At 38.0% G+C, this 27,983-nt stretch overlaps 2 long non-coding RNA genes across 2 annotated transcripts; one reads left to right on the top strand and one right to left on the bottom strand.

The window, feature by feature from the left end:
- Window positions 1-2,549: 2,549 nt before the first annotated feature.
- Window positions 2,550-12,749, bottom strand: LOC105370222 (uncharacterized). Its single transcript, XR_941992.3, has 3 exons — window positions 12,615-12,749; window positions 3,451-3,521; window positions 2,550-2,629 (listed from the first exon to the last, which is right to left on the bottom strand). It is a non-coding gene; the product is annotated as an uncharacterized LOC105370222 (long non-coding RNA).
- LOC105370223 (uncharacterized) lies at window positions 11,600-27,399 on the top strand. Its single transcript, XR_941993.3, has 3 exons — window positions 11,600-13,080; window positions 20,939-21,073; window positions 27,334-27,399. It is a non-coding gene; the product is annotated as an uncharacterized LOC105370223 (long non-coding RNA).
- The last annotated feature ends 584 nt before the right edge of the window (window positions 27,400-27,983 follow it).

The raw sequence follows: 27,983 nt of genomic DNA, 5'->3' as shown, positions 1-27,983 counted from the left end.
TGGGGAAGTTCTATTGGATAATATCCTGAAGGGTGTTTTCCAACTTGGTTCCATTCTCCCTGTCACTTTCAGGTATACCAATCAAAGGTAGATTTGGTCTTTTCACATAGTCCCCTATTTCTTGAAGGCTTTGTTCATTCCTTTTCATTCTTTTTTTCTTTAATCTTCTCTTCACACTTTATTTCATTAAGTTGATCTTCAATCTCTGATACCCTTTCTTCTGCTTGATCAATTTGGCTATTGATACTTGTGTATGCTTCACGAAGTTCTTGCACTGTGTTTTTCAGCACCATCAGGTCATTTATGTTCCTCTCTAAACTAGTTATTCTAGTTAACAGTTCCTGTAACCTTTTACCAAGGTTCTCAGCTTCCTTGCATTGGGTTAGAACATGCTCCTTTAGCTCTGAGCAGTTTGTTATTGCCCACCTTCTGAAGCCTACTTCTGTCAATTCATCAAACTCAGTCTCCATCCAGTTTTCATCCCTTGCTGGTGAGTTTTGATCCTTTGGAGAAGAGGCATTCTGGTTTTTGGAATTTTCATCCTTTTTGCACTAGTTTTACCTCATCTTTGTGGATTTATCTACCTTTGATCTTTGATGCTGGTGATCTTTGGATGGGGTTTTTTCATGGGCATCCTTTTTGTTGATGTTGATGTTATTGCTTTCTGTTTGTTAGTTTTCCTTCTAACAGTCAGTCCCCTTTTCTGCAGGTGTGCTGGAGTTTGCTGGAGGTCCACTCCAGATCCTTTTTGCCTGGGTATCACAAGTAGAAGCTGCAGAACAGCAAAGATTGCCACCTGCTCCTTCCTCTGGAAGCTCCATCCCAGAGGGGCACCCACCTGATGCCGGCCAGATCGCTCCTGTATGAGGTATCTGTCGACCCCTGCTGGGAGGTGTCTTGCAGTCAGGAGCCACGGGGGTCAGGGACCCACTTGAGGAGGCAGTCTGTCCCTTAGCAGAGCTCAAGCACTGTGCTGGGAGATCCACTGCTCTCTTCAGAGCCGGCATGCAGGAACATTTAAGTCTGCTGAAGCTGTGCCCACAGTTGCCCCTTCCCCCAGGTGCTCTGTCCCAGGGAGATGGGAGTTTTATCCCTAAGCCCCTGACTGGGGCTGCTGCCTTTCTTTCAGAGATGCCCTGCCCAGAGAGGAGGAATTTACAGAGGCAGTCTGGCTACAGTGGCTTTGCCAGGCTGCGGTGGGTTCCACCCAGTTTGAACTTCCCAGCAGCTTTGTTTACACTGTGAGGGGAAAACTGCCTACTCAAGGCTCAGTAATGGTGGACGCCCCTCCTGCCACCAAGCTTGAGCATCTCAGGTTGACTTCAGATTTCTGTGCTGGCATCAAGAATTTCAAGCCAGTGGATCTTCACTTGCTGGGCTTCGTGGGGGTGGGATCCGCTAAGCAGGATCTCTTGGCTCCCTGGCTTTAGCCCCCTTTCCAGGGGAGTGATCGGTTCTGTCTTGCTGGTGTTCCAGGTGCCACTGGGGTACAAAAAAAAAAAAACCTCCTGCAGCTTGCTCGGTGTCTGCCCAAATGGCTGCCCAATTTCGTGGTTTAAACCCGGGGCCCTGGTGGTGTAGGTACCCAAGGGAGTCTTCTGGTCTGTAGGTTTTGGAGACTGTGGGAAAAGCCTAGTATCTGGGCTGGATAGCACCGTCCCTCATGGCACCGTCCCTCATGGCTTCCCTTGGCTAGGTGAGGGAGTTCCTCAACCCCTTGTGCTTCCTGGGTGAGGTGATGCCACACCCTGCTTCCGCTCATCCTCTGTGGGCTGCACCCACTATCTAACCAGTCCCAGTGAGATGAGCTGGGTGCCTCAATTGGAAATGCAGAAATCACCTACCTTCTGTGTTGATCTTTCTGGGAGCTACAGACTGGAGCTGTTCCTATTCTGCCATCTTGCCAGCCACATGATGTGAGGCATTATTCTTGTAATATAGTAACAATTTTTAGTTTAGAATGACGTATTTAAAAATAACAAAAAGAAAACAATAAATCTTTTAAAGTATTTCACTGAGTCCTTGAAACAGTTCACAGACCTCCTGTTGGAACTTCTGATTTCTAACTAAGGCAGAAGATGAATTGTTTTGAGAGACTGAATATGTAAGGATTAATCAGATTGGGGTTCCAGAGAACGCAGAAGAAAGATTTAGGAAAGTGGGGAACAGTGGGGCATGGGTTGGTAAAAACAAGTAGCAAGCAGTTTTGGGGTTGGAGGACTGAGTAAATAAGAAGGTTTAGTTTAGCATCTAACAAAGATGGAGTATGAAGTAGCTAATTTGAAGATTGTCACACAATGCATCCCAGACATTCTCTCATTGATGGGGAATGGTTTGTAACTCAGAAGGTACCAAGGACTTGGATTGATTACAACTCCAAAGAGCTCTAGTCTCTTGCACATAGGAAATTGGTTCTGTGAAGGAATTAAGCAGGAATTCATATGGATTGTGGAAGCAGCTAACATACCTTGGAAGCATTTTTTAATTGTTTCATGCTTATTTTTAATACTTCACTTTGGCTTCAGTACTCTCTTACAAGGAAATGAAGAGGAAACACATTGTTCCTTGTTTTTACTAATCTGGAAACAAGAAAGATGGAATCCTTAAAAGAAATTCTCAGCTCTAGATCCTGAAATAAAAAGAAAGGAAAAGCAAAAAGTAATTCAACCCCATTCTTCTTTCGTAACTGTTATTAAAGGACCTTATTGAATTTATCCCTTTTTTAAGAGTCTTTCTTTGAGAGTCTCTTTCAGACTTCTGGAATGGACTATATGTGGTTTGTGGAAAGATACAGATATTTTCGCATCTCTTTTACACATATCAACCACAGTGACACTGGATCATGTTGTTCCTGTTTTTTCTTAAAACTTTTTTAGAGATGGGATCTTGCTATAATTACTTAGGCTAGAGTACAGTGGCTATTCATAGGCACAGTCATGGCACACTACAGCTTCAAACTCCTGGGCTCAAGTGATCCTCCTGCCTCAGCCTCCCAGATAGCTGGGACTACAGGCACACTCCACTATGCTTAGCTTATGTCTGTTTTTCTCTTCCATGGCACTCTGTTGGTTTCCTCCATGTATTTATAAATTAATAAATTAATACTTCACATTTGATCAGTATCTGTCTCTCACTAGACTATAGGTGCCAAGAGAGTTTGCTCTTTTATCTACACTACCTAACACATTACTTGGCATAGGTAGTTGCCATTGATTGATTGGTTAAATATATGCCCCAGGATCTGTTTTGCCTCTTTCTATTTTATTTTACATATTTCCTATGAAGAAAACAGTTCAATCTGTTTTTAAGGCAGAACATTTTCTCACTTGAGGAGGGAATTTGACCATATCGACAAAGAACAAGTTGTACAAGATGGCTAACAGTGCATGTGTAAATAATTTATGAATTAAAATGTTTTTGGGGTGTTAATTCTTCAAGTCAGATATTTACATTGTCTACTTCTCATTGATCTTGTTTGATTTTTCTCTTTGGTGATATAATTGAACTTCTCTTCTTCATTGCTGAGAAGACAAAAGAGGTAGGTGGCTGTATTAGCTCATTCTCATGCTGCTAATAAAGACATATCAGAAACTGGGTAATTTATAAAGGAAAGAGGCTTAACTGACTCACCATTCAGCATGGCTGGGGAGGCCACAGGAAACTTACAAGCATGGCGGAAGGGGAAGCAAACACATTCTTCTTCACATGGCAGCAGCAAGGAGAAGTGCCAAGAAAAGGGGGGAAAGCCCCTTATAAAACCATCAGATCTCATGAGAACTAACTCACTATCACGAGAATGGGATGAGGGAAACTGCCTCCATGATTCAATTACCTCCCACCGGGTCCCTCCAATGACATGTGGGGATTATGGGAACTACAATTTAAGATGAGATTTGGGTGGAGACACAGCCAATCCATATCAGTGTCATTAGAGCTTGGTTTCATTTCTGGCTTTATATGTGATTTGGGCAAGGCATAAGCTGTGAGCCTAAGCCTCATCCGTTGTAAAACTGAGAAAAACTCATTTGGCTATATTGTTTCTCCACAGAATGTTGTGAGGATAAAACAAAATAATTAAACATGAATTTTCTTTTGGTAAAAGTATTCAATAAATAGTATATGTTTATATGCATATGCACACATACATAATTATTCCTTTTGTTTTGGCTATGCCAAATTTTAATATAGTATATAGTATTTGAATGATAGGGGATGACTCCGTAAAAATGATAAAAAAATAATGATGGCAACTATTTAGTAGTACTTTATAATGGCCAAGTGTTGAGTTAAATGCATATGTTTTCTTATTTAATTCTCCCAAAAATATGTTAATGACCTTTTTCATTCCTATTTTCACCCCTGCCACTCTCATTTGAACTCACTCCAGTGAATAAGGCATTCGTACCCATGACTCCACTGAATCTTTTCCTCTCAGTGTTGCTATTGGCTTTTATGTTGCCAAATGTCAGTGGTCCACTCTGCCCTCATCTCACTCAGCCCCACTGAACATATGACAGTAGGTTCTTCTTTCTCTCGAGGCACTTTTATTCACTTGGCTCTAGGACACCACCATTCCCATGGTTTTCCTGCATCGTCCTCATCTTCTTGACCTCTAAATATTGGAGACCCCTAGAGCTCAGATCCTGGCCCTCTTTTCTCTTCAATTTTAACATATTCCTATAGGGATCTCACTCAGTCCTCATAAATCAAATATGTTTTATTCTCAGATAATGCACAATTAAGATCCATTTTTGACTTCTTTCTTGAATACATACCATATTCAATAGTCTACTCAAAATTTACATGTGAATATCTAATTCATATCTCTAACTAAACTCCTTATAGTTCCTTTTATTTTTACTTATTGCTAATTTAGTCTTCCCCATTTCAGTAAATGGCACTGCCATTTACTCAGTTACTTAGGCCCAAAACTTTATAATCTTTCTTATTTATCACAACTCACAATCTATCAGCAGTTATATTGAATCTACTTTAAATTCATCATGAATCCAACCACTTTTAGCTACTTCCAAGTGTCGTCTTCCCCTTTTAAGCCACCATCATCACTTGCCTGCCCTATAGGGACTGCCTTTACCTGGTCATCCTGTATCCACTCCTGATTCTCTAGGGTCTGCTCCCCACTTAGGAGCCAAAGTGATCATTTTAAAACACAGTTGGATCATGATACTCCCCTACTCAAAAGTGTGCAATGGCTTCCCATCACAGTTAAAATAAAATCCAAAATCCTACTGTGGCATATACATTTCTCTATGACTTACCTGGGCTACCTTTTATGTATTTTTTTTTTTTTTTTTGAGACAGAGTCTTGCTCTGCTGCCTATGCTGGAGTGCGGTGGCATGATCTTGGTTCACTGCAACCTCCGCCTCCCCTGTTCAAGCAATTCTTCCACCTCAACGTCCCGAGTAATTGGCACTACAGTTGCCTGCCACCACACCTGGCTAATTTTTGTATTTTTAGTAGAGAGGGGGTTTCACTGTGTTGGCCAGGCTGGTCTTGAATTCCTGACCTCAAGTGATCCATCTAGGCTAACTTTTAAATTCAACTCTTACGTCAGTGAATAATAGTGTTACTGATTTCCTTGCTTTTTCTCAAATTCAGCAGAATATTCCTGCCAGGAGGTCTCTCATTTGCTCTTTCCTCTGCTTGAAATGCTCTTCCTCAAATATTCACTTGGATCACCATCCCACATTCTTCATGTCTTGACTCAAATGATACCTCCTAAGAGGACTTACCAGCCCCTACTCTAGTCTGATCATGATTAGCTTATCTAGAATTCTTTTCTTTGGAATCATTATTACAATCTGAGATTATATTTAATTTCAATCTTGTTATTACAAGCGGTATGAGAGTAGTTCACGGTCACATCCTTACTGTCTAGAACAGTGCTCAGCATATGGTAGTGTAAAATTTATTTTAAAAATTTACCTTCAGATACCCCTCTGTGATCAGTCTGATTTTCCATCTTTTATAGGAAAGGTAACTGAGACTCAGGATGATCAAGTCACTTTGTCAAGATCACATAGTAAATGATACAGCCTGGATTTGAAGACTGATCTGACAGTAAATCTTACACTTCTAGCTGCTATACCATATTGCTTTCCTTTTTATGCTATACTGTCTTCACTCAATAATTTTGGAAATTAAGAATGCTGAAATTTCCATAAACATTAACGTTTTTAGAATACTTAACATGTGTGCTCACATTTCAGCCTTTGTTGCCTTCCTAGGATTTTTTTTAAGGTTCACACACATACATGCTCACCAGCTTGTTTCAGCTTCCCTGAAGGAAGATTTAAAGAGGAGAAAAACACCTTGCAAAACACATCAATACAAAAGATTGTTAAAAAACAATCAATGACACATCACTGACAATTGGATACATGTACAGCTCCTTAGAATTTCAGACTCTAAAGTGAAATTGATATAGTCAGGTGACTTTTATCTCTTTGATCCCACGTGCAAGTTTAGCATAGGCCTGAAGCAGTACTTAAACCATAACACTGTTACAAGAGAAGCTATTGACTTTGGCATTAGAGAAGACCTAATGCTAGTTATTGAAGTAAGGTTTTACTGATTTTTAACACTAAAAAGATTTCTCTAAAAGTAGATCTAGCAATTGTCTTGCTAAAATGCTCTTAAGAAATGCTAAATTGTCTCCTCTATTAGCCATTACTTCATTTTATCCACATTTAAGACAAAAATCTAAGAGCAGAAATCAAAACACACAGCTTACCAATTTTGTAGGAGTTTTGTCGATGTTTGAATAGAAGCAGAAAAGTTGTTATTCTTGTGGCAAGAGTTGACATTTGAAGACACCTGAATAAATTTTTCCTTTTCCATGAAATGTAATAGTTAGCATTTATGGAATCCTGGTTCTACCGCTACTGGTTGTGTGACCTTGTGTACATCTTTTTTGTGTTTCTGAGTCTGTAACCTGGGTATATTACTAGAACCAACCTCATGGGATTTTGGTGAGGGTTAGAAAAGAAAGTGCTAAGCACTTAAGTGTGATTACTTGGGAAATGCTGCCAGCTATTATAATGCATGTATGACCACTACACCAGTGTTTCTCATCCTTGGCACCACTGACATTTTGGGTTAGGTCATTCTTTATTGTGGGGTGCCATATGTATATGCAGGAAATTTAGCAGCATCTCTGGCCTCTACCCATTCCTACCAAAGCTGTGAAAACCAAAAATGTCTCCAAACATTGCCAGATGCCTTCATGGGAGGCAAAAATACCCACTTGTTGAGAGTCACTGTATTAGACTAATGCTTTGTATATGCTATCTCATTTAATCTTCACAAACAAGCTTGTGGAATAGGTAATAATGTTATTTCATGTTTACAAATGAGGACAGTAGAACTTAAGACAGTTAAATATTTGCCCTAGACACACAGATGGTGAGAAATGAGCTGTTGGTAGAATCTGACTCTGCCTAACAACAAAGCTTTGATGGTGTGTTACTTGCATTGAACTCGATAAGATTGTCTTTGGTAATGTCTCTAGTTAATAGGTTGCTCCCGTGTAAATCGCCAAGTCAACATTTCACTCTATTTCCACTAACCCCTGACTCAGGAGCCTGTACTATCTTTATAGCCCATTCTCTTTCCTCCTTACAAGTTGTTGCTCTTCTCTCTTTTGCATTGAAGAATGGTATACCTTTCTATTAGGACCAATTGGTGAGTGAGGCTTCACAATTCTCACAAAATATCAGTTGCACTCTCAGCTTGACATTAAAGCAAAAGTTTCTACCTTTAACTGGCAATAGATACAATCTGTGCTTCTGATACTTGTTACTAAGAATAACATTTAACTGACTTTTGCATAAAATTTATTACAAACTTAATCGAGAAGAATGAATTCAGGAAGTATTATCTGAAGAATTTGTAGTGCTTTGAGGGCTAAGCAGAGAATAAACAAAATAAATGGATAAGCCTTCTCTTGCTTAGAAATTAAGGTGGCCAGGTACAGTGGCTCATGCTTATAATCCCAGCACTTTGGGAAGCTGAGGTGGGAGGATCTCTGGAGCCCTGGAATTCGAGACAGTATTCAGATAGAAGGAGAAGGAGAGGGAGATTAAGTATATTTTTCCATCTTTATCTTACTGAACCTCTCTGCTGCATTTTTCACTTTTGTGGCTTTCATAATATTAACATTACGGGTTCTCCTCCTATGTCTGATGAACTCCTTCTGTTTCCTTTCTTGGCTTCTGTTCTTTTTGGCAATGTCTGAAATAATTGCCCTAGGGTTGGGTCCTCAATCCACAAGTCATCTCACTTTCTATATTCTTTCAGCAATGTTATTCAGCCTTATGGTTTCAGATACCATTATTTACCAATGGATTTCATGTCCGTGTCTTTAAGGCTATGCTCTAGCTTAAAACTCAACTGTCAATTACCAAGTGAGCATCTCTAAGGAATGTTCCACAGTCACAGCTGTTTCAACAGGCTCCCCTAAATGGGCTTCATTTCCTTAGTTGGTGGCACCACCATCCACCCAGTTGCCTAAACTAGAGTTTGTGCATCATATAGAATTTTGCAATTACTTTCCTCCCCATGCCCAATCACCAAGTTCTAATAACGCTAATTCCTAAAGATTCCTTCAGTTCATCTTTTCTCTGCATATTTGCTGTCACTGTCACTATCTGTCATCAGAACTACTGCCATCACCACCCCAAAGATCAATGAGACAAGATAATGTCCAAGTTTTTAGCAATGACTACCTAGCCTTTCTTGGTGCAGCCTCCACTGTTGCATTACTCCCACTACTTGTCTCACAGTGAACACTCAAGCAACACTTAACTCCTTGTGATTCTCTATACCAACCAGACTGATTTTCACTTCTCTGCCTTTGCCCAGCTGCTCCTTTTGTCTGGAATGCCCTTTCCCAATTATCTCATTTCAGAAAGATTTTGGTAAACCTTACCCTTCCCTCCCCAATACCTCTCTCTCATAATCTCTACCTTGATATACCTTCTGCATACACACAGCCAACTCTTTGGGACAAAGCCATAGCAAACATTTCATAAATTTTGTTGAGCGAATGACTATGTCAGATATCTCACTGAATTGGTAGCAATCTACTTCACTAAAAGTACTTTGTAAAATAGTGATCTCAATGCAGTTAAGATTTTATGTGATTTACTGATGAGGGTTAGCCTAGACTCATAAATTCAGTAGAGGACTATTACTTTTATTCATCTAACCACCTTCAGTTAAGTATCAAATGTTTCCTTTGCTTGTGGCAGAGATCCTGGCTTATCAAACTAGATGTTGGTATAAAGCTCTTTTGCAGTAGGAAGAAATGTGTGGACAGTGGAATTAGATTCTGGGTAGGAAAGCTGGATGTTTGATCCAGTATTTTTGTTCAAATCTCTTGCCTCCAACATACAGCCCTTGAAGCTACACCTCTCAGCATTACCTCTGGGGGAAGAGTAATGGGGAACATTCCAGCAACAAATACAGGTATGTAGGTTAAAATTTTTTATATTAAACACAATATTTAAACATCACATGTATAAAAATATAAAGTGGAAAACAGATATAGAGAGGATAGTTTTTTATATTACAAAAGTATTTCTGGCTTTACTGAAAGGATCATTGCAAAATTTATTCAAGCAATCATGTCTCAGTGAATTAGAATACTACATGATTTAAAAAAGTGTTACATACATTTTAGGAACAGATTGCACATATTAGAAGATACCTGTTCTTTAGATCCATAAATATACTTTTTTTTTTTTTTTTTTTTTTGAGACGGAGTCTCGCTCTTTTGCCCAGGCCAGACTGCAGTGGCTCTATCTTGGCTCACTGCAAGCTCCACCTCCCAGGTTCACGCCATTCTCCTGCCTCAGCCTCCCAAGTAGCTGGGACTACAGGTGCCCACCACTGCGCCTGGCTAATTTTTTGTATTTTTAGTAGAGACGGGGTTTCACCATGTTAGCCAGGATGGTCTCGATCTCCTGACCTCGTGATCTGCCCGCCTCAGCCTCCCAAAGTGCTGGGATTACAGGCGTGAGCCACTGTGCCCGGCCTAGATCCATAAATATACATTTCTTATTAGTGTTTATATTATGTGAATATACATTCACTGTCTCTTTTCAGGGTTGTTTAAATGTGATCATATTTATGATTTATGCTATGTATTTGAACATGTATCATGCACATATGTAAAGTAACAAGCCTTTCAAAATGTCATTGTCCTGAATATTTATAAAATGTCACATCAGGGTTAAAAAGAATTTCAAGTAATAGCTATTCTGTGGCATATGCAGTAGTTGTTGAGTATATCATTTAATGAACTAAAATTATTGGAATTTTTAGAATGTATCGTTATTGACCAGTTTTAACCAAAAACGCAAGAAGTTTCATTATTTTCTTTGTCAAAAATCTCTCTCAGTGAGGGCTGAAAGACATCTATACAGTTATAAATAGTGTCATAAGGATGTCAAAGTTGACTCAGGTGGATCAACAAGCCATTATTCCTCTCATTTGTACTCATTTTTAATGATCAGCACCTGAGCTCAACAGTATTTTTGTGACAATTTCAATCTGCAGGACTGAGAGAGCTGCTGTTTATCTATTTCTCACTGGAGACATTAGCATTAATGAGCTGACTCCTGCACTGTCTGGTGCTAACTATGGGTCACATTGGTATAAAGGTAGTTGCCTCTTGAGGTGGCCCATGCCATCTCTATTTTCTGGACAACAGCTGGCAGATAAATCTTCCACTATTAACATCAGTGTGAACTGAATGCCAGCTACCTGCATTATGGCCTCGGTTCTAGGAAGGGAAGCATGGCACTATTAGCACAACCTATACACATTACCCATAAGAAGCAGAAGGAGCTACATATATCAGGTGAACAAAAGACACCATTAGCCTTCCCCTTGTCCATATACAGTTAACAGATAACTGTTGCCCTCACTATTTTTAATCAACATGAACAAATTCAGAGCTACCAATACACTGATTCTAGGCTGGCATAGTTTTCTTTTCTAGTGGTTTATAGATGTCTGCTGCAAAACAACTAGGGTTTATTCATTGAAACAATTACTTTGATTTTCAATCATGTACATTCTCTGAAATCCACTAATATTAATAACATTTTGTGTGCGTGTGTGTTGAAGAGGGAGGGGAAAAATTACCATATTCTTTTCAATGTGAAAGTTCTTTCTGTTCTTGGTAGAGAAATTAAGCTCTTAGAGCAAATATGACCCTGAAGATCTGTTCTTAACTAAAAAGAAATATTATTGCATTACTATTTATTAAAAATTTTAAAAAGTAGTTTAGATTTTTTTTTTTTTTTGAGACAGAGTCTTGCTCTGTTGCTCAGGCTGGAGTGCAGTGGCACTATCTGGGCTCACTGCAACTTCTGCCCCTCGGGTTCAAGGGATTCTCGTGCCTCAGCCTCACGAATAGCTGGAACTACAGGCGCACACCACCATGCATGGCTAATTTTTTGTACTTTTTTTTTTTTTTTTTTTAAGTAGAGACGTGGCATCGCCATGTTCGCCAGGCTGGCCTCGAACTCCAGAGCTCAGACAATCCACCTGACTCGGCCTTCCAAAGTGCTAGGATTAGAGACGTGAGCCACCGTATCCTGCCTAAAAAGTAGTTCTGATTGGCAGAACTTTGCATAACAAATGTTTCCTTCTTTACTTCCTGGGATTCTCACAGTTCTTTGCACTTTCAACCTTAGAGTAGGATAACATCTGATCAATTTAATTGTTGATGATCCAGAACATCTCCCAGTAAAAATTCTTTTTGCTTTGAGCAAAGGATGAATAAATTTGGGAAGGATTGAAAGTATCCCTTAAAAGGTGGCTGCACAATGGCAAAGCAAACAACTGGAAATTGAAAACTGGTTATTTGCTTTATTTTAGGTGAAAAAAAAGGGAAAAATCTCATAAACTCATTATTTTAGTTTTTAAAATGAACAAAATGAATTACTTGTTGAGATACATACCAAACCTAGATTGCAAATGCATGTCTTATGGACAAATTATTCTTACTTTATACCTCAGAAAAATAGTTTCATATCCATTTTTTCCTGGTGCAAATAGATGAGTTCTTGCTATTTGCATCATTTGGAAAACAAAACCATCAGAATTACATTCTTTTTTTGCTCCCCAAGGACATAGTTTTATCATTAAATTTAGGAAGTAGATAAATGCTGAAATAACATAAACAGATTCCACTGTATATAAATAAGCCAATTTAAAGTAATTTAGTAAGGGAAAAGTTCTATTGCTTTCTTAATTTTTTGTCTGAACACTTTGCTTCATTGTAACATGTACTGGGCCTGCATGTTTTAATGTTCTTTTTTCTCTTTACATCCCCCTTTGGGGTTTCAGTCCACTAAATTCAAAAATAATTGCCTTTCGGGGATTTATTGGTATTTAAAAGCGGATCCCAACATCTTACAAATTGCAGTTGTAGCCTGTGTAAGGTGATGGTCAATAAATAAGGGAGAATAAGAACACTAAAGCTAGATTGTGAGAGAAGAAAAGGAAAAAAGCTTACTACATTCTTTCTAAACAAACAAAAAAGGCATAATTGGAAAAATTCATTTTTATGTTTCCTTACATTAGATGGGACCACTGAGTGAAACATTCACTGATGAATTACTCCTGTAATCTGTGTAGGAAAAACAGCTACTGGCAAATTAAAGAGTCCTGGAACAGAGCCATGAGAACTAAATGGCTAAAAATGAAAACAGGCAAACATTTGAGAGTATTCTACAGAATACAGATCTTTCAGCACCTCCCCCTTTTCACTGGTTAATTCATCGTCATGGAAACAGAATTTATCAAAATGTTCTTGCTCACTCCTAGTGACCCAGTGAGTAGACTTAGAGAGCTGGTGAAAGGTAACTCAGGCTGAAGCAATTTTTACAAATGATATGCTGCAGTTCATACATTGGTGAATTTTGAATGGTGCCATTGTGTCGATTGAACATGTTTCCAAATCTCAAAGGGTTCACTTTTTTGTTTGTTTTTTAAAAAGCTGCCAGGCAGAGAAACGAGAAACCTTTGCAAGTGAGTGAGCACAGGTGACTAACTCCATGGAAAGTGGCCGAATTTAGGTTTGAACTCACCTTTCCCCCTCAATTTGCTTCCCCCCCACCCCCGCTTGTCTAAAGGATGTTCAAATCCAGAATTTGGTAGACATTTCTTTGGTTAATTTATCTGCCTCAGCAGCTCTCTTCTGTTCTGTAGCTCAGAAATACAAAAATCCTTCATTCCTCATTGTAACCATCTCCTCTTATCTTTACCAAAAGCTAGGTGTTGGTAATCAAAGCCTGGCACATCTGGGCAGCTTGCAGCTGACACCTTTGCCAGACTAGAATTAACCCTACAATGGAGTACCTTCTTGGATTCGGGAAGATGACTCGAGGGATTCCCTAAGGAAAAGTGCCATTTCACTGTTTAAAAAAATTAGACATCATCTTTGTAGCTGCCAAATTCAAGGAAGGTTGATTTTTTACTTTATTTTATGTTTGCAATTAGTGACTTGTTGTCATGGAAACCACGCTTCAGATGATTCTTGAACTTAAATGGCTGAATGTGATCAGGCAGATGCCCTCCTCTTTTTTAGGCTCAGTAGTCAATGTCTCTCTCTTTGGTTATTCTGATAACAGAATCACATGAAACATCTATAAACATGCAAAATAATAGCATGGGGCAACATCAATTAAAACTGAATATTCAATCATTCATTCTTTAATTAAGGCTCTTTCCTCCTTTCCTGAAGCTGTAACCTTTCAAGTATTAAAACAGACATAAGAACTAAATCATTTAGTAAAAGAAATCTTTTCTAATTAACTGTTTGCGATACACTAATGAAGAAAAACAGGATTTGAAATTCCTTTTTGGTTTTTAATGTTTTGATATAGAAAGAAAAGTGAAAGGGCTTCATTTGGAAAGTCTATTCAAGGTAAAAAACTATGGTTTGAGGCTGTAGCCTCTCTCTGTGTGTTTCTTTTGTCTCTGCGTGAGGGAGGGTTGGGGTTTATCACGGAAACAGCATAGCCCACTCATGGTTTCTGGCAGCTGGATAATTAATCTATATTGAGACTGCAGGCAAAGTGTCCATGTTTGCATCTGTGACTACTCTGTGTTAGAGCTGGAAAATGAAAACTTCCAACCATCAGAGCAGCTCATCTTTAAAAAGAAAATAATCAAACACTCAGACACTCTGGATTTATTTGCTGACCTCTGTTTGAATACAGAATTCACTACTCTTCAGAAATACCATTATGCAGCATGTACACTAAGCCCTGAGTATATCTGGGGCTTTCTTTACTCTCCAGATATGGGAAGTTCACTCATCCTCCTCCCTTCGTTAATGCTAATTAATGGACAAGAGACCCTTAAGAGAGGGAACAAAGTAAGTCTGGTCAATTTTCTTTTTTAATTTAGGGAGCATTTTGGCATATTTTTTTTTTCTAGTGAAAAATAAAGTTGACTTTGAACATCTCTTTAATTAAAACAGAGTGTAAAGCCACAACAAATTTTATGTAACTGAGGTAAAAGCAAATACTTGCATTATGTTACATGATTATCTGTCTACCTATTAATATCTATCTATCTAACTACCATCTATCTATCTCATGCTTCCTAAAGGATGGCAACATTTGGAGCTGTTGTGTGAAATGTAAGTGAAGTGATTTGGCTATCAATCACTAAGCCTGACTCAAAAAAAGGTCTCATTTTTGCAATTATATTCCATTTCTTAGTTTCGATAAATCATCTAACTTCTCTCTGACTTTGTTTCTTCATCTTTAAAATGAGAAAAGTGCCCATTTTAAGTTCCCACACACATGTATAAAGAACATTTATGAATATTGAGGCACTCAATGCATTTTTGTGACTGAATAAATAATTGTCATATATTATTTTTCAAATCGAATAGTGACAACAGTGATAGCCTTTTTTCTTTTTTTTTTGGTAAGACAAAGATGTTCTGGAGGACAGTGTTTGCATCTTGTTCCCTGAAAATCTATCCAAAGAAACAGGTTAGGATGAAATGCATATTTTACAGCAATGTAGCAATTGGGTTACAATGTATGTGAGACCAGAGAAAATTGGTAAAATGGGAACACTGTGTTGCTACATATTTTGTGTGTCTTTCTTAAATACATGGTTCTAGTAGGAAGCAGGAGTTCTCACTCTATTTCTTACTGAGAAATGGTATGCATAGCGGACAAAGATAATAGAAAAGATGTGATGCATGAGACCTCTTCTTTTGATTCTGAGGCCAGAGAGGTCTAAAGACAAGAGGGTTCTTATCTTCTATCTCATAGCCTTTATTCACACATAGCCCTCTATGTGGAGGTAGAGCAAAGCACTCTCCTCCTCCCTAAGAAAGGTGTCCAGGAAGGTCAAACACAGTCGAGAACTAAAAGGAATGATGTTGTCCTGATGCCTCTCCCTTACTGCTGTGTGTCATATGTGTACAGAGGGGAAGTTAGTCTAATGTGATCCCTTGAAAACTAGGAGAGAGGAAGCACATTCATCTTTAACTTGAATTCAAGTGAAAAGCAAGCACTAATAGAATACTATGCTTTCTTCCTACATTGATTTTATCTGCTTCAGAAAATTGACAACCTAAATTGAAATCAGGTAGATGAAAAATACATTTCTTCAAACATTGTGCCCTTGAGGGAAAAATTACACACACAGCGTGATATGTGCATGCACACATGCGCACACACACACAAACACACACACAACCCTAGGCTGCAGCCTACATTTTTATCTTTGCTTCTTCAAGCCACATGTTTAGTAGAGGCATAGCTAAAAATATTTTGGGACAGGTGACATAGTGAAATAACTCAAGTAATGGGACTGTCAAGAATGTACAGCTGTACAGCTGCTTGAACAATGAATGTATAGTGTACAGCTGCTTTTGGGGATGTCAGATCCATATCTTTCTACTCTCTTTGCACCTGGCAGTCCTGGTCTGTCACAAGAGTGCACTGGGTGGTCTGGGAAGTCTGGCTTGGGTTCTGTTAACTCCCAGAGTTTACCCCAGGACTGTCACCAGCAGTGTTACATTTCACACTCCCTGCCACTGCATTGGTGATATCATTCTCCACTGGGGTATCCATTCTCAATAGTTGACACTATTGGTGGGGAATGCACAACATAATTTCAATGAGAGTATCTATAAGACAGAAATGGAGCTCAAGAAGAAAAGGATATATTGTCTCAAAGTTACCATTTTCTTTGGAAATTTGTTTGCTTTTTGCAACATGCTACCAAATGCCTAGAAATTTCGATAAATTGATAACACACTAAGAGGGCACCATGCCAGTGGTCCCTTCCAAACATGAAGTAGGAAGCATCTTGTCCTTAATTCATTTTATTACATGACTTTTCTTAGATCAAAGATGATTAGATTGGGAATTGACACCAGAGCCAAATACAATCATCTATCAACCTATCAGGAGGCTTGAAGAATGAATCCTGTCTAGTAGGGATGGTTTATGCTAGACAGTGATTAACCCCATCATATTATTCCTTATGGAGTAGAATAGGAACATAGAGAGAGGGACACAGACACTAAATGAATCAGAAGGCTAAGAGACACCCAGAGAAAAACAGCTGGTATGAGGTGGCAGAAGTCATGTAAACAAAGGACATGAGGTAGAAGAAGGAAGAAAGTAGTCAGGAAACAGAACTAGACCCACTCATAGTAGAACAATGTTCTATGGGAATAGCAACTACTAGATTATGTTGTGTGATGAGACAGACAAGGTATTCTAATTCTCCATGAGATACTTTCCTTGGTAGCTGAAACAGTTTTTTACATTCCCTAATTTCCCCTTGTATCCTTATAGCAAGTCCCATCAATTGAAAATTTTTGGCCATTAATGCTGCAAATATTATTTCTGGTTGTTTTTCATTCTTCTTTTACAGAAATTCTTATTATTTGTATGTTCCGTCTTTCATATTTGCACCACACTTCTTGGATAGTCTGCTCCTTTTTTTCCAGTTTTTTTTTTTTCTCTTTTAAATAAATCTCTGCTTTTCAGTTTGAGGCATTTCTATTGACATATCTTCAAGCTCACTGATTCTTTCCTTGGCTATATCTACTGTACTGATGAGCCCATTAAAGGCGTTTTTCATTTCTGTCTTAGCAAATTTTACTTCTAGCATTTTTTTTTAATTCTTAGAGTTTTCATCTCTTTGCTTACATTACCCAACTGTTTTTGCATATTGCTCCTTTTTTCATTAGAGTCATTAGCATATTACTTGTACTTAAATTCCAGGTCCAATCATTCCAGAACCTCTGCCATACCTAAGTCCAGCTCTGTCTCTTCAGACTGTGTTTTTTGCCTTTCAGCATGACTTATGATTTTTTTTGTTGAAAGGTAAACTTCATATATTGGTAAAGGAAAGGAGGTAACTTTTTGAGTGAGGTTTTATAGTTCGTCTGTGTTTATAATTTGCTGTAGCTGCAGATGTCAGAGGCTAAAATTTCTTCTGATGTCCTGTTTTTTTTTTTTTCTTCTCTGTTGTCTTTGCATTTCCCTATAGGCTTATTTGTAAATAGGGTCTGAGACTTGCAGTGCTTTTTAGCTGTAATCCCTTGTTATTATTTAGGAACCCTATTGATGTGGTTATAGGATAGGTGTGTGGAGTGGTAGTGGTGGGAGAAGAACTCTATAGTCCTCTGATTTTATCTAAGTCTTTTAGTTGGCCTGTGCCCCTGGGCTGTCACTTTCACTAATGCTTCTTAGTTTTGTTTTGTTTAGTTTTGTTTTGTTTCTCAAATGAGACAGGAAGGCTAGAGGGGACTAAAGTTGGGTATTTCCCTTCCTCTGGGTCTATTAGGGTCTGGTAAAATCCAAGTCAGTTAAGGTCTGGGAAAATTTTTTCCTTAAAGGGAGCCCTTGTTAAGAAGCCTGAAATGCTCTGGGCATTTTCAAAATGGTCACTTTTCTCCCTCCCTTACTGGAAGATAAGGTGATTTTGTTTTTCATTGATATCTCACTAAGAATCTTGTGAGGCTACTCAAGGTAAAACTCATAAAAGTGTGAGGGCACCCCCAAGGCTGCCAGAAGTTTTTCTTTCTTAAGCTAGTCCACGTTTACTCTTCAGCAATTAGTCAACTACCCTTTAAGAACTCCTAACCAGTGCTGGTGCTAGCTGAGGTTTCTGTTTCTGGTAAGCTGTGATTCTCTATGTCTTTCATATTTTGGGGATGGTGCTTTGTCCTGTGACCTCAATTTTCTGAAGGATGTAAGAAGAGTTGTTGATTCTCATTTTGCTCAGCTTTTCAGCTTTTTTTTTTTTTTCTTGTGAAGATGGGAGTGATGACTTGCATGCTCTTTACAGGTTGGGCTAGAAACTAGAAGTGACCCCTACCACTGACATAACCTAAAACAATGGTGTTTAAACCATGATTAAGGACGAATTTTTCTTTCTCTTTTTTTTTAAGTTGGCCAGACATGACCCCTTTTATCATATTTGAAAATTCTCTTATTAGATATTCTGAATCTTGTCTTTTTTTCAACATGAGCTGAGACAAGTTACTCAACTCATTTCCTTCTCAATTTCTTTATCAGAATAAAAGAGAGAAAAGGGGAGAGACAGCGAGAGAGGATTTATCTAATTTATAATCAAGTAACCATAGAAAAATATTGCTGAGAATTCATGCATAGGTGATGTTTGAAAAATGTGCAGTGCTATAGAAATCTAAATAATGTGATCTCGCACATCCTTTTTGACTCTGTTTTGAAGCACCTGATGCAGAGTAGTTTCTTTTTAAAAAAAATTGTAAAGTGATATATTTTAGTATTATTTAAAAGCATTTTATTCCTTTAGATTCTTCTCCCTGCCTCTTATTTTCAGATGTCCCATTATTTCAGGTAACTCTTCCATATCTATAATTTTATAGAAATAATATATGAGCAGGTATACCCTTGAGAACATATTTTCTCATTATCAGATTGGACAATATACCTATTATATAAAGGCAGTCTTTGAAATATAAGCTATAACATCAATAATCATTTTAACAATGTAATTCATATACTACAATAGAGTCTATTACTTTCTCTGCATTTTGGGTTGTCTCATGCATTTTTGGTGCTTATACTGTATTAACACCTCTTGTTGCGCTAATTTAATGGTTTTTATGAACTTATCAAATTTTATCTCTATGTACATTAAAAATATGTTGGGTGAAGAGGAACAATTTACTAATTCAAATTTATAAAGAACAAAGCACTTGCCCTTGAATTTATATCATGGCTAGTACTTTGCAGTGCCTTCAAAGAGAAAAATAAAAGCCCTTTAGAACAGCAGTGTTTTTGTTTTTCTTCTTATTTATTTAGACACAAAGTAGCCTTGAAAGATTATCACATAATCCTGGAGACGTTTTTCTATTTATTTACTTATTTAATACTTCGAGGGGGTGGGGGAGTCTGTGTATGAAGAAAAATAATTAAGTGTGACAGGTTATTTGACAGCTTGCTAACACAAATTAACCTTCTTTTAACACTGGCTGCATGTGAACATCCAGTTTTACTCCTCTGGCTTGGTGACACAGTCACAGTTTGTAGGGACTATCCTGAAGCATGTAAAAGTTTGAAGAGCAAAGCTACTTCTGCTCTATTCTGAGCACTGTGAAGCTTTCCATGAACAATGCAATGTTTTTGTTTGGCTTGGGACCTGTCTATTGATATTGAGTACTTTGGGCAAGAATGCCATTTTCCCCTTCTCATTTAATGGTTGAAGAAACTAATGCACAGTGAAATGATGTGGCTGAGGCAGGGCTGTAAGACTGAGATCAGCCAGCACTCACCATGCTCACATTTGTTGTTGTGGCTGCTGTTTTTCTCACTTGTATTTTAGGCTCAGGGAGCACATATGTGGGTTTGTTACACGGGTAAACCGTGTGTCACTGAGGTTTGGTATACAAATGATCCCATCACCTACGTGGTGATCATAGTACCTGATAGGTAGCATTTCAACCCTCACCTCACTCCCATGCTCCGCCATCTAGTAGTCTCCAGTTGTTCCCATCTTTATGTCCATGTATACTTAATGGTTAGGTCCCACTTATATGTGGGAATGTGTGGTATTTGGTTTTCTGCTCCTGCATTAATTTACTTACAATAACAGCCCCCAACTGCATCCACGTTGCTACGAAGGACATTCTTCCATTCCTTTTTATGGCTGCGTTGCATTGAGAACATACTTAAAAATAATAAGAGCCATGTATGACAAACCTATAGCCAAAATTATACTGAATGGGAAAAAGCTGGAGCTAGAACAAGACAAGGATGCCCACTCTCACCACTCTTATTCAACATAGTACTGGAAGTTCTAGCCAGAGCCATCTGGCAAGAGAAAGAAATAAAAGGCACCCAAACAGGAAAAGAAGAAGTTAACGTATCTCTCTTTGCTGATGATATGATTCTGTACTTAGAAAATACTAAAGACTCCACCAAAAGGCTTCTAGAGTTATTAAATGATTTCAGTAAAGTTTCAGGATACTAAATCAACATGCTTTTATTTGAATCCTGTTGCTTTACCATCTGCCATCTTGCTTGTGGTATTCTTGAGTTCAGAGATCATCTCTTCTTTCTCTGAACCTCTGGGGCTCTTTATCTGTATCTCTCTCTGAAAGCATACACCATTGTACAGATGATGTATTAGCTCCTTATGCATGCCTTATCTTCTCTCCTATCCTGTGGAATCCTTGAAGACAGAAGAATCCTATCCTCACTCATGCTTGTAAAATGTCAACACTAGCCCATAAGGATAATAATAAAAATGTTATCTTCTATACAATAGTTGTATAATTCAAGCAATTATTTTTGTATGTGAATGAGAACTCCAAATCATATCCCACTAACCTTCTGAACATTTTTGTATGTTTATTTTATGAAACAGAAACATGCTTAAGTGAAACTCAGTGGAGGACATGAGTACACTTACAGACCAAAGACGCCTATCCCTCCTGTGCTTGGGCATGAAATTTCCAGAATCAGAAGAAAAGAATCTCTTACAGCATTTAGCAGAGGAGAAGTGAGTCCCAGAGCTTGTAGATGCTTTACCTCCATTTGAACATACATTGCCTAACCTACTACTTAGCTAACCCTCTCTGGGCACATCTGTCTCTAACTTCAACAGCACAAGCCTCAAATAACCCAACTCTCATTTTCTGCTGATCCCATCCCAATTCTTCCAATTCCTACTTATCAAGTGAAAAGCTGCTATCACCACAGTGGTCATCATCAGCTTTCTTTTATCCAGCATGGCAGCATTGACCTTTCCCCTCCCTGACAGCCTGGTTTGAGGGATTTGAGATTTAAACTATATTTTATCTCTGCACCTTCCTGATATTGGTAATAGAATAGGTTGGCTGGAAGACAGATTGTGAATGAGAAACTATGTTTCTCCTAAACTGTGAACCTGGCTTTACACTCTTAAAAATCTAGCTTGAAAAATGACTTTTACTCTCCTGGTATGAGGTAAATGCCGCTCCTGACCATTTTCATTTTGCCTTTTTGACATAACACTAGTTGTGGAAGCAGAGAAAAGTGGCAGAAGTTCCTTATAGGATGTCTGCCCTTAGGTGTCAAACCCAGAGATTAGTTCCTGATTAAATTTACAATGCCCTCGCTAAATTGCCAGTTGGCTAAACTTCAATTTCATTTTTTTTCATTTTAAAAATAACTATTTTAGGTTACATTTATTTTGGTTATTATTACATCCTGTGGGCTCAATAGATTTGATTTTAGCAGGTAACCAAGTGAATTAGATATCATAACACAGATGGTAAATATCTCGTTGGTGTCACCAAAGCTTAGCAAGCAGGGTATGTTTGAAATATGGTAATGGGAAAACAGCTCCAATTCAGTAGGAACAGATTTTGTTGAGTGGAAAAAGTTACAGTCATATTCTGTGTTGTTTCATTTATGCCTGCTTAGAACTCCAAAATTCTAAGAAAATAATTTCTTGGAGATCATGGAGTATTAATGAAAGGTGAAAGGACAGATGTACTATTATTGTGAAGATGTATTAAATATCATTTAGCTTGATGTAAGAAATAAATGACTTATTTCTGATTTAGGTCATACAAGTTGCACAGGTATAACATATAGAAAAAATGGGGAATTTTAAAAATTGGGGGATATGCAATGGAACGCTCATTCACTTAATAGTACACATCTGACAACTTCCTTACCTGCTTTGTCTCAAAATTTATCTCCCAGAGTTATTAAAAACAACTGGAAATAATAATTACCTTGTATTTGATAGTGAAAAGATAATTTTTCAGCAAAATGGAAGTTGTTATGTAATTGGAGAGGACATGGCCACCTCCTTTCAAAAAATGCAATAGCTAGGAAAGGAATGAGCAGGTATAGTCATACATATTCTCTGGATTTTGGAGAAGTGGATTTCCACATGTTCAGAATGATATTGTGACATGAAGATCTGAAAGGGCAACTGTCTCAAGAGGAGTCGGGTAATTGAAGGCTTGTCACTTAGAACAGGGATTGAATGTGCTGAAATTGCTCTAAAGATCAGGACTAGAATGAGTGGACTGAAGCTAGAGGAAAACATATTTCAGCTTAATGTAAAAAACAATTTAACTATCAGAATTGTTCAAAGATAAAAATGGGCAGGCATGGGAAGTATAGTTACTTATTACTTGATGTAGCCAAACATAACTGGATGACTTCTTACCTAAATATTCTAGAGGAGAGTTGAGCAACAGATGGGTAATTGAACTGGGTGATTCATGATTATTTTCAATACTAAAATGTGCCAGTTATTGACAAAAATATTTGCTTAGGTACAAGGTCTGTTGTTCAACTCTAAAGTAGGTAATAGTGCTCTCATAAGAAGTGTTTCCTTAAGTTGTGCTCTGTATTTTCTCCTGCCCTCTTCATAATTACTAACACTGCCAATGAAAACTTCCAGGCCAGGTGCAGTGGCTCATGCCTGTAATCCCAGCACTTTGGGAGGCTGAGGAGGGCGGATCACAAGGTCAAGAGATCAAGACTATCCTGGCCAACATGGTGAAACCCTGTCTCTACTAAAAATACAAACATTAGCTGGGCGTGGTGGCACACACCTGTAGTCCCAGGTACTCGGGAGGCTGAGGCAGGAGAATCGCTTGAACCCAGGAGGCAGAGCTTGCAGTGAGCTGAGATCGTGCCATTGCACTTCAGCCTGGAGACAGAGCGAGACTCCATCTCAAAAACAAAAACAAAAACAACCAAAACAACAACAACAACAAAAAAACACTTCTAATTGCCTTCTTCCTCCAAAGGACACGTATTTAGCTTCTACTGATTCAGCTGTACACATGCTTCATCTAACGGGAGTACAACACTGAAATTATGCTGGCAACTGACCCAACTATAGTCACATAGTCAAGATAGAAACTTATTTTTCTTCCACATAATTCAAGCCTGGAGCTGGAAATTCCAGAGCTGGTATGGCAGCTCCAGAAAATCATTAGAGACCTGGCCTTATAATAGCTTTCTGTTCCAGCATCCTCAAAATTACAAGATGACTCACGGAGCTCCAGCCATCATGTCTTCATTCCAGGCAGGGATAATAATAGTAAGAGCCAGGGGCAAAAGAGTTTCCCTGGAGGTCTCTTACATCACAGTGACTACTTGGATTTACAAATGTGGTTGGGAAATACAATTCTTCAGCTAGGCACATTCCTCAGGTTCTCTCATTAAGCATGAACGTGAAAAAAGCAACTTCCAGTCTTTGCCACAGGCATCTTATTTCACATTTTCATAGCTGGGCAAGCAATGACTGCTTTCCCTAGTATATATGTAATTTTCAGTGACATACAGCCAAGGTCTAACAGATTTATAAATGTCCTACCAGTTTACAATTTTGCATCCTTAAAAAAAAATTACCATTCCTTATTTGTTCAACAAAGGTTTAGAGGAAACTCTAAACTCTAAAATGAGGAAGAGGAAGAGAGGAATAGCAGCTGGTAGGTGCACTCAGGCTTTTTTTCTACAGACTTGAGAAAATCAGCCCTGCTCCCTAATTTGCTTACCCTTCTCCACAAGAGAAAACGCTGTAAGCAATGGGGCATACCTTCCTTATTAAGGAGCTAAGCTTGATATGGTCTTTTGAATTTATGGGGCATACCTTCCTAATTAAGGAGCTAAGCTTCTTAATATGGTCTTTTGAATCTATCATGCATTCATTCATTTATCCATTAATCCAACAGTTATTAATATTTATTGAACAGTTACTATATGCTAGGTAGTGTTTTTGGAGTATAGAAATGACTGAAATAGACAAAATTTCTTATCTCCATGATACACACATATAATATCCTTCCTGAAAGACGTTCTTGGGAAAACTTTACCTTTACATTCAGATGATACCATAACTGATTGGCAGCTATCTAGCTCTGTACTGATAGTTGCCTCCACAAGGGAAATCAATCAAGACTGTTCACACACTCCATTTCCCTTTCTCCTTCTCTATCAGAGGCCTGATGTGCCCCTCTGACAGTTCCAAAACTCCTGTACACTCCCGCAACATCTGGTCTCTTAAAAATCCAAATTCTCTAAGCTTACTTCTCTCACGTTTGGCCCCAGAATCTTCTTTAAAAGCACTTGTCTCTTGTCAAGAAGCAGTTTGGTTATAGTGGTTTTTTTTTTAAAAGCTCATATTTGCTAATTGCTTGTGCCCTGTGCTAAGAGTTCATTGACTCTTCGCAAGAAGTGTATTTTAAAAATTAGGAAATTAAACCTTAAAGAGGTTAAAAGACATGTTCAATGTCTTTGAGTGCTTTGCTAAACTCTAACTCAGATCTGCCTGGCTTCAGAACCTTGCTCTTAACCACTGACTGCATGCATAGTTTTTGATGTTTCAATGCCTGATGAATTTAACTCGCTCAGAGAGCATTTGGATTATATTTCATTAAAATATTGTTTATTTGTTTATTATCCTAAACACATAAATGATTTGATATGTGTGTGTGTGTGTGTGTGTGAGATATACTCTTTCATCTACAAATTTTTCAGCAATGATCTATTCTCCAGGTGAAGACAAATAATGTAGCTGACAGCTGTTCCTAACTCTTAAGGAAGGTGGATGTCAAAAGTTTCCGGAAAAAAAGATGTGTCTAACCCTGGAATGATCTAGGCAAAAATTACAGATGATTGAAGTTGGGAGAGAGAGTAGGCTTTAAATGGGGCAGAATTTAACATCAGGAAGAATGAGCTGAACTTTGATGGAGAGAGGATGGGACAGTGAAAAGAGCATGAGTTTTAGAGACAGGCAGCTTAGAATTTCTGTCTTGTCTTCACTACTTAGTGGCACAAAAAATGTAAGTTATTATGTCATTCTGAGTATCAATTTACTCATATTTAAATGCAGGTAATAATATTATAATAATATCAGCCTATTAGCCTTATTGTGAGGACATGTGATTATATGCTTAGTAAGTTTTCATTTAATTGCTCTCTGGTGGGGGCAAGGTATGAGCATTTAAAAAAATCTCCTCAGGTGGAATTCCAAACACTAAGTGTAGAAGGACTCACCATTAGACAAACACCACAGTAACAATTGTTGTAGACAAGATCTATTGACGGATGTTAAAACAAGTGGATGCAAGTTTGACAAGAAACAGTATTTGCAGAGTTGCAAAGTGTTATCCCTAAGATATGTATAACTGCAAAGGGAAAAATAGTAATATTACCATGGGGAAACCCAGTAAATGTGACCTGAACCAAGCAATCAAAGTTAACAGCAGCAAGAATAGGATGTTAATATCACAAACCCCTTGATCTGACACACTGAGAAGCGCCCATCACTTCTGTGGTATTCTTACAGAAATGCATCACTTCATTCTGAATATGAGAAAACATCAGAAAAACCTACACTGAGGGAAATTCTATGAAATAACTTGATCAGCACCCTTCAAAAGGGTTGAGGTTATGAAAGATAAGGAAAGACTGAGGTAGTATCAAAGATTGGAACAAACTAAGAAGAAATAACAATAAATCCAATACTGAATAAAGAAAAAATGTTAGTGAGACAACTAATACAATTCTAATAATCTAGTTAATAGTATTGTACCAATGTTAATTTTCTGACTCTGATCATTGTACCATGATCATGTAAAGAGTTAATGTTATAGGAAGCAGGTGAAGGATATATGAGAACACTTGGTGCTATTTTTTTCTACTACTCTGAGTCTAAATTAATTTAAAATAAAAAGTTAAAACGAAACAAAAATTTCTTCAGTGATTCTAATATGTAATGAAGATTGAGAACCTGCAGCTTAGAATATAGAGAATTCTCAGTGAATGATAGCTATTACCAAACCTGGCTACAGTGCTATGCATACCAATTAGTTTTGCTGTTAAGGAAGTACCGTTCATTTTTTAAATATTTGTCTGACTGACCTGTGTGTGTCTTTCCAGATAGTGATACTTGGACATATTCAAATATAGTATAGTCTTGAAAAATATAAGTAGTCAAAGGAACTTTTGCATGATTCAACTTTAAGAATTCTGTGTTTTTCTAGATAACAGGGGAACAATGGAAAACTCTTGATTTCCCTGTCAAGAATGTGAGTGAACTTCACCCTTGCTTGACTCTCTTGATCCTCCTTAATTTTGCAATATTTTTCACAAATAAGAAGGGGTGTCTCCTTAAGTGTGGTTTCTCATATGAAAAACAATAGTACCTGTTAGTCATTGGGCAATTTCTAGGGCAGAACCATTATCTTGGTTTGATTAGCAAGGAAGGAAGGAAGAGGAATTATGGAAGGGAAATTTGTGTTTATTTTCCAGACCCAAATTTAGACATTCAGATTGTTTCTCTTAAGTAGAAAATGTTAAGTAAAGCATAAATGTTTTCTTCAGCATGTATCACCCACAAGAGAGTTTAGGAAGGAAAGAGGCTGCAATAGTTATTTGCCTGTTTGTAGAGTTTTAATAATTACTCGTATAGGCAAGACTGCTCAATTTGTAACCTTAGATAATTTGAAATAAAAATTCCACTCAATTTTGTAACAGAGTTTAAGGTTCTTAACTTCTTCCAAAAGGATCTGCAGATAATGGCATGGTTGTTTATACACTCAAGTGAAAATGGGAAATTTTAACTATTTTAACGAAAAATATTTCAGGTTTTTTTCCCTAAATCATGAAGACTTTAACCTGTAGGAGCAAAGGTCTGTGAAGTTAGTAGTTCCAAAAGTGGTATGGTTATCTGCATAAGTTTCTTAACATCTTTGTACGCATCTTCCTTATCTGCAAATGGCACTAATAATAATGATTTCTTCACAGCATTGGTATATGGAATGGCGAGTTTATGTTTTTAAACAGTGCCTAGCATAGTACCTGATACATGGTAAGTATTAAATATATATTACCAATTTTGTGTTTGTGTGTGGTGTGTGTGTGTGTGTGTGTGTGTGTGTGTGTGTTTCCAAGAAGCATGAAAAAGAAAAAAAAGGAAGGCTGGGTTAAGGAAAAAATCTACACCCAGTTCTGGTGGAAGCCCCAGACAGTGGCCAGTACTTAACAACTCCCTACAGCTTGGCTGAGTATTTTTGCCTAGTTACTGATATATAACAGGAGTTCAATGATTATTGCTAACTAAATTAACATAATCTTGCTCTTGCAAAAGCCCTCAACTCCATTTGCTCTCCATTTCTCTCCATCTTGACCTACAATAGCTCGTGTTTAGTTGAGTCCACGTAGCTTCTCGTTGGCTATCCCTGGCTTTCCAAATACTGCTGGAGAAAGTTACGTGGATGGGCTGACTGGTTTCACTTTAAATTATTACAAACTTCGAGTGGGCCTTCCGCAAGTACTAAGAAATCATTTCCTCTGTAACTCTGCTTCTCTACCCAGCAAGATTTTAATTTCAAACTTTCTCTATTCTCACACCTCCCACCCTCTCATTCTTAGCTGAATACTTCACTTCATTTTTC

This window comes from Homo sapiens, chromosome 13, assembly GCF_000001405.40.
Source record: "Homo sapiens chromosome 13, GRCh38.p14 Primary Assembly".
Taxonomy (NCBI): Eukaryota; Metazoa; Chordata; class Mammalia; order Primates; family Hominidae; genus Homo; species Homo sapiens.
The sequence above is the reverse complement of the archived record's forward strand: the minus strand, read 5'-3'. Positions and strand labels throughout refer to the sequence as shown.